Source organism: Homo sapiens, chromosome 12 (genome assembly GCF_000001405.40).
Source record: "Homo sapiens chromosome 12, GRCh38.p14 Primary Assembly".
NCBI lineage: Eukaryota > Metazoa > Chordata > Mammalia > Primates > Hominidae > Homo > Homo sapiens.
The window spans coordinates 98,572,619-98,584,830 of NC_000012.12; positions in this window are offsets into that span (position 1 = coordinate 98,572,619).

Below are 12,212 nucleotides of genomic sequence, written 5' to 3' on the forward strand. Positions count from 1 at the left end.
GGAGATAGTGCCAGATCCCACAGGTTGAGGGCTCAGTCTCCAAACCTGCCCCCCACTTCAGACACCCTAGCAAGTCTGGGCCTCTGGAACTTCTGACCAACTGGCTTCAAGTTGGGGTTCCCAGAATTCCCTCTTTGGGTTCAATTAATTTGCATGTGTGGCTCACAGAACTCAAGGAAACATTTATTTACATTTACTGGTTTATCATAAAGGATATTACAAATAATACAGATGATGAGCTGCATAGGGCAAGTTATGGGGGAGGGGGCGTAGTGCTTCCATGCTCTCCCCAAGCACACCACTCTCCAGGAAACTCCACATGTTCCCCTGCCCTCTTGGGACTTTTTATGCGGACTTCATTGGATAGGCATGATTGAAGCATGGACAACCGTGTGATTGGACAAAAGGTGTATGCTCTAAACCCAGAAAGATTATTATTATTATTTTTTGAGACAGGCTTGTACTTCCATTGCCCAGGCTGGAGTGCAGTGGCGCCATCTTGGCTCACTGCAACCTCCACCTCCCAGGTTCAAGCAATTATCCTGCTTCAGCTTGCCGAGTAGCTGGGATTACAGGTGCACACCACTATACCCGGCTAATTTTTGTATTTTTTGTAGAGACAGGGTTTTACCATGTTGACCAGACTGGTCTGGAACTCCAGAGCTCAAGTGATCCACCCGCCTTGGCCTCCCAAAGTGTTGGTCCAGCAAGATTCTTCTTGGCCACTCTGTGCAACATTCCTTCCTCCAAGTTATGGGACAAGATTCTCTCTAGAATGATGAGATTAGAGTCCTGCCATGGGCAGGCCAAGGGAGGGCCGGAGAAGATCAGAGAGATTCTCTTTATTGTAACAGGGGCTATGGGAGTTATGAGCCAGGAACCATAGATCAAAACCTATATATATGTCACGCGCCTCAGATTTTATAGGTTAGTTCTGGCACAGTTTTAGTAAAAGTAACCACATTTGCTAAAATTGCTTCTTTTTTTTTTTTTTTCTGAGACGAATTCTCACTGTGTCACCCAGGCTTGAAGTGCAGTGGCATGATCTCGGCTCACTGCAGCCTCCACCTCCTGCGTTCAAGCTATTCTCCTGCCTCAGCCTCCCGAGTAGCTGGGATTACAGGCAAGGGCCACCACACCCAGCTAATTTTTGTTTTGTTTTTGAAACGGAATTTCGCTCTTATTACCCAGGCTGGAGTGCAATGGCATGATCTCAGCTTACTGCAACCTCCGCCTCCTGGGTTCAAACAATTTGCCTGCCTCAGCCTCCTGAGCAGCTGGGATTACAGGCGTGCATGCCACCATGCCCAGTTAATTTTTGTATTTTTACTAGAGACGGGTTTCACCGTGTTGGCCAGGCTGGTCTCAAACTTCTGACCTCCCAAAGTGCTGGGGTTACAGGCATGAGCCATCGCACCTGGCCTAAAATTGCTTCTTAACCATTTAGAAAATCTTGAAAACAAGGCATCTTGGAAAAGGGTCCCCTGAAAAACAATTGTTGTAAACTAAGCTGTTGGCTTCTGCAGGCTTCTAATACAATATAAATACTAAGGTAAACTGTAGGACAGATAAGTCTATTTTAGGCTATGACTCTGTAACATGGTGAGTACAAAGAATGTAACTGCTCTCTAGTGACCCTTGAACTTAGAACTGGAACCATATCTCAAATAGGTTTCTCTAAGGTAGGCTTGGCAGCATTAAATCATTCAGAAAATATTTATAGAACATTTTGGATACACATGGCTGGCACCCTAGGGGCAAGAGTCCACCGATGAGCAAACCAGACTCTTGTAGAACTTAGGATCTTATGACTAATGTAAAGGAACTAAATGCTTTCTCAGCCTGAGTAAATGGGACCAATTCAACCCTGCAGTTCAGAATGCCTGAAATGAATAGATTCAATAAGGTGAGTTATTCCTGAAGAAAGGATTAAGGAGTGCCCAGGTTCCTAAATAACATCGCCCTATAAAATGTACCAGGGCTTCTTGGAGAAATGACTGATGCTAGGGTTAGAGCATGAAAAGCACAGATAAGCGAGAAATATCTTGCATCAGAAAGTAAGGAAGGCCAGAAGCCATGGCTCATACCTGTAATCCCAGCACTTTGGGAGGCTGAGGCAGTAGGATCCCTTGAGCCCAGGAGTTTGAGACCAGCCTGGGCAACATAGCGAGACTCTTGTTTCTATAAAAATTTTTAAAAATTAAAATTAAAAATAAATATATAAATATTTTCTAAAAGAAAGTAAAGATATGCTCAAAAAGTAATGGGACATGTTAAAAGTACACAGGAGCCAGCTGGCAGGGGCTCCCAAATAGGATAATTTGAACATCAAAACAAAAGTAGGCTGGGTGCGGTGACTCACACCTGTAGTCCAAACAGTTTGGGAGGCTGAGGAGAGCAGATCACTTGAACCCAGAAGTTCAAGACTAGCCTGGGCAACATGGTGAAACCCTGTCTCTACAAAAAATACAAAAATAAGCTAGGTGTTGTGGCATGCGCCTGTAGTCCCAGCTATTTGGGAGGCTGTGATGAGAGGTTTGCTTGAGCCCATAAGTTTGAGGCTGCAGTGAGCTATGATTCCGCCAGTCTGCAGCACTGCACTCCAGCCCAGGTAAGCCCGTGTCAAAAAAAAAAAAAAAAAAAAGCCAGCGAAACACCTAACTAGTAATGTGTTATAATCTAGATTCCAGAGTCCATATCTATACTGATAACACATGAATGAATGAATAAAAAGGAAAGCTCATTCTTTTTGTTTTGTTTTGTTTTGAGACAGAGTCTTGCTCTGTCACCCAGGCTGGAGTGCAGTGGTGTGATCTTGGCTTGCTGCAACCTCTACCTCCCAAGTTAAAGTGATCCTCCCCACCTCAGCCTCCTGAGTAGCTGGGACTACAGGTGTGTGCCACCATGCCTGGATAATTTTTGTATATTTACTAGAGATAGGGTTTTGCCATTTTGGCCAGGCTGGTCTCGAACTCCTGGCCTTAAGTTATCTGCCTGCCTTGGCCTCCCAAAGTGCTGGAATTATAGGCGTGAGCTACCGTGCCCAGTGGAAGCTCATACTTATAGTAGAATGGTCAGCTAAAAAAAAATATAGAAGAAACAAAGATTTATTTTTTGTTGTTGTTGTTTTTGTTTTTGAGAAAAAGTCTCACTCTGTTGCCCAGGCTGGAGTGCAGTGGCACTACCTCGGCTCACTGCAACCTCTGCCTCCCAAATTCAAGTGATTCTCCTGCCTCAGCTTCCCGAGTAGTTGGGATTACAGGTGCCCACCACCACGGTGTGGTGCCTGGCTAATTTTTGCATATTTAGTAGAGATGGGGTTTCACCATGTTGGCCAGGCTGGTCTCAAACTCCTGACCTCAGGTGATCCACTTTAGTCTCCCAAAGTGCTGAGATTACAGGCATAAGCCATGCATCTGGCCTGAAGCAAAGATTTAGAAAATCATGTAATCATGGTAATTGTTGATTCAGGCAAGAATAATCAATAGATGTGAAAATTACTGGGTATGTGATTTTTGAAAAACAGGATATTTACATAGTCTCAAAAGTATCTCTTTATAAATTACTGGTTAATTACAAAGGGAAAAATAATAACTTTACAGTGAAGAAATTTGATAGACACCACCTTTAACTAAGTGATCAAAGTTAACCTCACCCTAGGAATGGTATAAATCACCAAGTGTTTCCTGAGGGGTGCACTGAGCAGAATACATCACTCACACAGTATCCCTTCTCTAAATGCACAACCTGAATGGAATCACAAAACTTCAGACAACTCTCAACTAAAGGAAATTTTACATAAATCGCTGGCCTGTACTCCTAAAAAATGTCAGGCCATTCTAAGTGGCATGAGATGGTATCTCACTGTGGTTTTGATTTGCATTTCTCTAATGACCAGTGATGATGAGCTTTTTTTCATATGTTTGTTGGCCGCATAAATGTCTTCTTTTGGGAAGTGTCTGTTCATATCCTTCACCCACTTTTTCATGGGGTTGTTTATTTTTTTCTTGTAAATTTGTTTAAGTTCCTTGTAGATTCTGGCGATCATTAAAAAGTTGGGAAACAACAGATGCTGGAGAGGATGTGGAGAAATAGGAACGCTTTTACACTGTTGGTGGGACTGTAAACTAGTTCAACCATTGTGGAAGACAGTGTGGCGATTCCTCAAGGATCTAGAACCAGAAATACTGTTTGACCCAGCAATCGCATTACTGGGCATATACCCAAAGGATTATAAATCATTCTATTATAAAGACACATGCACACATATGTTTATTGCAGCACTATTCACAATAGCAATGACTTGGAACCAACCCAAATGCCCATCAATGATAGACTGGATAAAGAAAATGTGGCACATATGCACCATGGAATACTATGCAGCCATAAAAAAGGATGAGTTCATGTCCTTTGCAGAGACATGGATGAAGCTGGAAACTATCATTCTCAGCAAACTAACACAGGAACAGAAAACCAAACACCGCATGTTCTCACTCATAAGGAGGAGTTGGATGATGAGAACACATGGACACAGGGAGGGGAACATCACACACTGGGGCCTGTTAGGGAAAGGGGGGCTAGGGGAGGGATAACATTAGGAGAAATACCTAATGTAGACGACAGCATGATGGGTGCAGCAAAACACCATGGCACGTATATACCTATGTAACAAACCTGCACGTTCTGCACATGTATCCCAGAACTTAAAGTATAAAAAAAAAATTATCTAGGGGTGACAGTGAGCAAAAATAAATAAATAAATAAGGCCAAGTGCCATAGCTCACGCCTGTAATCCTAGCACTTTGGGAGGCCCATGCTGGTGGGTCACTTTGAGCTCAGGAGTTTGAGACCAGCCTGGCCAACATGGTGAAACTTCATCTCCGCTAAAAATACAAAAATTAGCCAGGCATGGTGGCTCATACCTGTAATCCCAGCTACTTGGGAGGCTGAGATTGTAGGACTGCTTGAGCCAGGGAAACAGAGGTGGCAGTGAGCTGAGATGGTGCTGCCACCGCAGTCCAGTTTTAGCAAAGGGAGCTAAAGAGGCATGTGTACTAAATGCAATGTGTCATCCACGATTAGATACGGACCAGAAAAAAAGGCATTGTTGTAAATAAAGGACATTGTTGGGACAATTAGCAAATTTTGAATGTAGATTATAGGTTAGATTATTAGTATTAAATTTCCTGATTTTGATAATTATACTCTGCTTATGTAAGAGAATATCCTTGTCCCTAAGAAATGCACTCTGAGGCCGGGTGCGGTGGCTCACACCTGTAATCCCGGAACTTTGGGAGGCTGAGGCGGACAGATCACTTGAGGCCAGGAGTTTGAGATCAGCCTGACCAACATGGCAAAACCCCATCTCTACTAAAAATACAAAAACTAGCCAGGTGTGGTGGCACATGCCTATAGTCCCAGCTACTCAGGAGGCTGAGGCACGAGAATCACTTGAACCTCGGAGGTGGGGGTTGCAGTGAGCTGGGATCGTGCCACTGCACTCTAAGCCGGAGTGTCAGAGCAAGACTCTCCCCATCCCCCTCCCCCACAAAAAAAAGAAATGTACCTGAAGTATTTAGGGGCTAAACAGTATACTCTGCAGTTTACTCTCAAATGGTTCAAATTATATGGGTAGGTGGATGGGTGGAGGGATAATAGGTAAGTAGGTAGATAGATAAATAGATAGCCAGACATAGAGATAGATGGGAAAAAAAACTATTAAAGCAGTTGTGACGAAATATTAAAAACTGGTAAATCTGGATGAAGTATATATGAGTTATTTGTACTATTCTTACATCTTTTCTGTAAGTTTGAAATTATTTGAAAATTTAAAAACAATTATAATTAGAGGAGGAAGCACAGGGCTGTATTTTATACTGTAGTTTCTGAATGAACTCTGAATGATTACATCCAGATACTTACTACGGCCACCAGGAAAAAACATGCTAGCCTTTGGACTAGGTGTGGCTGTGATAGACATGATCCTGCTAACTACTGCTAGAAAAAATGGCTTTAACTCAACTAATCCAAAACCAAAATCATATTTTATGGATGACTGTTGCATTTCACTACCTTATAACTAAAAGTTGGATATAATAGTTTTGCTCATTGTTTCCTGGTGAACCTCATTGTTACCTTCTAAGAATGTCCACCAGGAAGCTACACATAGCTTATGTTATCTAGATTCAAAATCCATTCCAATGTATCTATTGAGTGTGGAGGAGACTGTTAGTACTATCTGAAAATCCATGTGCTCCTCCATATTTTCTCAGTCCTGTGTACCTGGGTGGTGTCACAGGATTAATTCTTGCCAAAAGAACATAAATGGAAGTGATGTGTCACTTTTACTCTGAGGCAGTTGAGTGCAGATGTGCCTTCTTGTTCCACCTCTTCCCCTTTAGCTGAACCTGTAGAGGTCATGTAGAGGTGGCAGAACCATAAAATGAAAGCAGCTTGAATCCCTGAGTCACCGCTTCAGGGAGAGTTCTCTGGAAAACCACCTGATCAGCACCAAACCTTACAGGAGCAAGAAATGTTATTGCATTATTTATTGTGTTATATTGTTAAGATTTTAGGTTAATTCGTTCATTCAAGATAGCCATATCGACTTACCATTCCTCTTTCTCTTCCCTCTTATTCCTTTTTCTTGTCTTTAAAAAACATTATTATTACTATTATTATAATTATTTTCTTCTCTTCAGGCAGGGCACGGCCAGTGAGACCTGTAAGGTTGGTACCAAGGAGGCACCCAGCAGGGTTAGGAAGTTGGTTACATACGGGGGTAATAAGTAAGTAAACGTATTGAAGATAATGAAAGCCAGGTTTATTATCTCTGTCAGAGAAGGGGGTTACAAATGTGGAAAGAAAAATAGACTGGAATGAACCCTGTGGTGTTGTGATTTGAAGATTTGAAATTGGAGATATCAGTGTGAACTCATGTGGTTTTTTGTTTTGTTTTGTTTTTTTCTTAGAGTCTCACTCTGTCACTCAGGCTGGAGTGCAATGGCATGATCTCTGCTCACTGCAACATCTGCCTCCAGGGTTCAAGCGATTCTGCTGTCTCAGCCTCCCGAGAAGCTGGGATTACAGGCGTGACCACCACACCCAGCTAATTTTTCTATTCTTGGTAGAGTCAGGGTTTCACCATGTTGGCCAGGCTGGTCTCGAGCTCCTGACCTCAAGCAATCCCCCTGCCTCGGGCTCCCAAAGTGTTGGGATTACAGACGTGAGCCACTGTGCCCATTCAGAACTCATGGTTTTTAAAAGAAAAGTTAGATGATAGACATAGATAGATAGATAGATAGATAGATAGATAGATGATAGGATAAAGATGGATAGAGATAAATGGATGACAGACAAAGATAGATATAGATTGATGGATGATAGAGATAGATCAGATAGATGGAGATGAATGATAGAGATGGATAGAGATAAGTGGATGGCAGAGATATAGATCAATGGATGACAGAGATAGATGATAGATAGATAGATAGATAGATAGATAGATAGATAGATAGATAGGCATGATAGACAGAGATGCATAGACAGAAATAAATGGATGAGGCTGGGCGTGGTTGCTCACACCTGTAATCCCAGCACATTGAGAGGCCGAGGTGGGCGGATCACCTGAGGTCAGGAGTTAGAGACCAGCCTGGCCAACATGGTGAAACCTCGTCTTTACTAAAATACAAAAATCTAGCCGGGCGTAGTGGCAGGTGCCTGTAATCCTAGCTACTTGGAATGCTGGGGCAAGAGAATCGCTTGAACCCAGGAGGTGGAGGTTGCAGTGAGCCGAGATTGTGCCACATTGCACTCCAGCCTGGGCGACAAGAGCAAGACTCCGTCTCAAAAGAAAAAAAAAAAAAAAGAAATTGGCCAGGCATGGTGGCTTACGCCTCTAATCTCAGCACTTTGGGAGGCCAAGGCAGGCAGATCACCTGAGGTCAGGAGTTTGAGACCAGCCTGACCAACATGGAGAAACCCTGTCTCTACTAAAATACAAAATTAGCTGGGCATGTTGGCACATGCCTATAATCCCAGCTACTGGGGAGGCTGAGGCTGGAGAATCGCTTGAACCGGGGAGGCAGAGGTTGCGGTGAGCGGAGATTGTGCCATTGCCCTCCAGTCTAGGGAACAAGAGCAAAACTTCGTCTCAAAAAAAAAACAAAAAAAACAAAAAAAATGGATGACAGAGATAGATGATAGATATAGAGAGATGGATGGTAGATAGAGATGATAGAGAAATAGATGACAGATAGATAGATAGATAGATAGATAGATAGATAGATAGATAGATAGATAGATATAGATGTGTACGTTATACAGTTGGCCCTCCATGTCCATGGGTTCTGAATCCATGGGCTCAGCCAGCTACAGATCAAACATATTAGGAATAAAAAATAACAATACAACAATAAAAAAAACAAATAAAAAATACAGTATAACAACTATTTACATAGCATTTACATCATAGTGCGTATTATAAGTGATCTAGAGATGATTAAAATATACCAGAGGATGTGTGTAAGTTATATGCAAATGCTATACCATTTTATGTAAGGCTCTTCTTGAGCATATGCAAATTTTGGTATCTGTGGGGCAGGAGAGTGGTGGGGGGCAGTCCTGGAACCAATCCCCCACTGATACGAGGGACAACTGTACATGCATTATGTATATGTGTATGTATATATATATATCCCCTGAAAGAGCCTAGAGGCAACAGCTTTGCAAAAGCAATGAGCATATTTTGCTCCCAGATCTTGGTTTATAGATGCTGTTCTCCTCTAAAAGAGACAAGAGCACTTTGGAGAAATGGCTGATTCCAAGGCTGAGGGGAGTAGAAAAAAGTATAAGCTTAGCTAGGAACATCTTGCTGTGCCAGGAAGTGAGGAAGTGATTAAAAAGTGATGAGGGCCAGATGCAACAGCTCACGCCTGTAATCCCAGTGGTTTGGGAGGCCAGGGCAGGAGGATTGCTTGAGCCCAGGAGTTCAAGGCTGCTATAGTGAGCTATGATCACACCACTGCACTCAGCCTGAGCAACAGAGCAAGATTCTGTCTCCTAAAAAAAAAAAAAGATTTGTCAAAAGAATAAAGGATCAGATTAAAGGGGTACCCACTGGCCAAATATGAAACAATATGAGCATCAAAGTAAATAATGTTAGTGTTCGATTATAACACTTGAATTAAATTAAGATTCATTAATCAATACTTATAAAACTAAATGAAAAATGAACTAAATAAATGTAGAGAAAGAAAGTCACTTCCTTACAGTGGAATACCAACTTCTAAATGTAGAAGGACTGATGGAGTTAAAAAATTACCACCTGGCAATCATCACAGTACTAGCTGATTCAGGCAAGAATCATTGATGGATATAAAAATTAGTGGGTGAAAGTGTGCTGAACAGAATACTTACATGGTCTCACAGTATCTCCCCATAAACTACTTATAAATAACACAGAAAAATAGTAACTTTACAATGAAGAAACCTGGCCGCCAACCCCTTGATCAAATGATCAATGTTCACCTCACCAGTAATAGAACAAATCAGTATCATGTACTTCTTGACATGATATGCCAAGAAGAACAAAGCATCCCTTCTATGACATTCTTGCCTAATGCATAACCTAAATCTGATCGTGGGAAAACATCAGAGAAACCCAAAGTGAGTAACACTCTCCCAAATAAATGTCCCGTACTCTTCAAAAATGCCAAGGTCATGAGTCGCAAAGAAAGATTAGAAGAACTGCTTCAGACTGAAGAAGGGTAAAGGGACATGAAAATCAATACTACGTGTGTTGCTCGATAATAGACTAAAATAAGAAGTAATTTTGTCTTGTTTTGATTTGTTTTTGCCATAAAGGACATTATTAGGAAATTTGGAGGATTTGGTAGCATTATATCCATGTTAATCTTGATGCTGATGGTTGTGCTTGGTCCTTTAGGAAAGTATTTAAGGGTTATGCCGCACCATGTATTTAACTTAACTCTCAAATGATTCAGGAAAAATATGTATATGTGTGTGTATGTGTGTAGGTATACATTTTTATATGTGTACAATCTGTATATCTATATATGGGTATATACATGTATCTCTATGTGTGTATATATATGTGTATATATTTATTATAAATATGTATATAGATGAAGATAGAAAGAGAGAAGAGAGAGAGGGAAAGACAGAGAGAGACAGAATGATAAAGCAAATATAGTAAAATGTTAACATCAGGGAAGCTGGGTGAAGGGTTACAGAAATTCTTTTTACTATTCCTGCATCTTTTCCATAGCATTGAAATTACTTCTAGCCAGGTGTGGTGGTGGATGCCTGTAACCCCAGCTATTCGGGAGGCTGAGGCGGGAGAATCATTTGAACCCGGGGAGGTGGAGGAGGCGGAGGTTGTGGTGAGCCGAGATCGTGCCACTCTACTCCAGCCTGGATGACAGAGTGAGACTCTACGTCAATAAAAATAAATAAATAAATAAATGAAACCCTAAAATATGAAAAATAAAAGATTGAGAATTTTCCCATTAAGGATGAAAGCTGATCCTATGGGAGTAAAGGAGATTACTGGGAAGAGAATGTAAAAAAAGAGAGGTCAAAGAGAACTTTGAAAATATTCACAGTACTCTCAACTAGATGTTCAGTAAATATTAAGTAATTTTAAATAGATAGCCCAGGTTAACCTGGCTAATACATTGGGTTTTTAATTATTGAAATCTAAAGACTGTCTTGCTTCTATTTTTCCTAGACATATTTACATATTTTAATAATCATGCTACATTAAACATCTTAACAGTCAAAACACGTCTCTAACTTCTTTTCCAATTACCCTGGAACCACTGTCATAAAGCAAACTCCCAAATCTTTCAACAAAAAAAACTTTTTTTTTTTTTGAGACAGAATCTCACTCTGATAGTGCAGTGGTGCTATCTTAGCTTACTGCAACCTCCACCTCCTGAGTTCAAGCAATTCTCCTGCCTCAGCCTCCCAAGTAGCTGGGACTACAGGCGCATGCCACCACGCCTGGCTAATTTTTTGTATTTTTAGTAGAGACAGTGCTTCACCGTGTTAGCCAGGATGGTCTTGATCTCCTGACCTCGTGATCTGCCCACCTCAGCCTCCTAACATGCTGGGATTACAGGTATGAGTCACTGCGCCTGGCCATCACCAAATTTTTCAAGATATGTGGCATTACCTTGCCTCGTTTCTGATTTACTTTTTTCAATGATATTTCTTTTCTTTTTCTTTTCTTTTTTTTAGACTGAGTTTCGCTCTTGTTGCCCAGGCTGGAGTACAGTGGCATGGTCTTGGCTCACTGTAACCTCCGCTTCCCAGGCTCAAGCAATTCTCCTGCCTCAGCATTGTGAGTAGCTTGGATTACAGGCACCTGCCACCATACCCGGCTAATTTTTGTATTTTTAGTAGAGACAGCGTTTCACCATGTTGACCAGGCTGCTCTTGAACTCCTGACCTCAGATGATCCACCCACCTTGGCCTCCCAAAGTGCTGGGGTTACAGGCATGAGCCACTGCATCCGGCCAGATATTTCTTTTTCTTTCTTTCTTTTTTTTTTTTTTGAGATGGAGTCTCACTGTTGCACGGGCAGGAGTACAGTAGTAAGATCTCAGCTCACTGCAACCTCCACCTCCCGGACTCAAGTGATTCTTCTTCCTCAGCCTCCCAAGTAGCTGGGACCACAAACGCGCACCACCATGCCTGATTAATTTTTTTTCATATTTTTTTTGGTAGAGACGGGGTTTCACCATGTTGGCCAGGCTGGTCTCAAGCTCCTGACCTCAAGTGATCCACCAGTCTTGGCCTTACAAAGTGCTGGGATTATAGGCATGAGCCACCGCACCCGGCCGATTTCTTTTTTCTTTTTTTTAAACTGAGCACTTTTTATATTTATGGCAAACTGGGTAATTTAAACTGCTGTCTCGTTTTACAGGAGAGACACCCCTCTCAAACTCGTTCCACATGCTATGTCACTCATGCTGATCTTGGAATTCCTTAGATCATTGGTCTCAAAACATGGTTGATTATAAGATCTGTGATCTTTTGCCTGGGGATCTTTTTTTTTTTATTTTTATTTTTCTGAAATGGAGTATGGAGTCTTGCTCTTGTGGCCAAGGCTGGAGTGCAATGATGTGATCTCAGCTCACTACAACCTCCGCCTCCCAGGTTCAAGTGATTCTTCGCCTCAGCCTCCC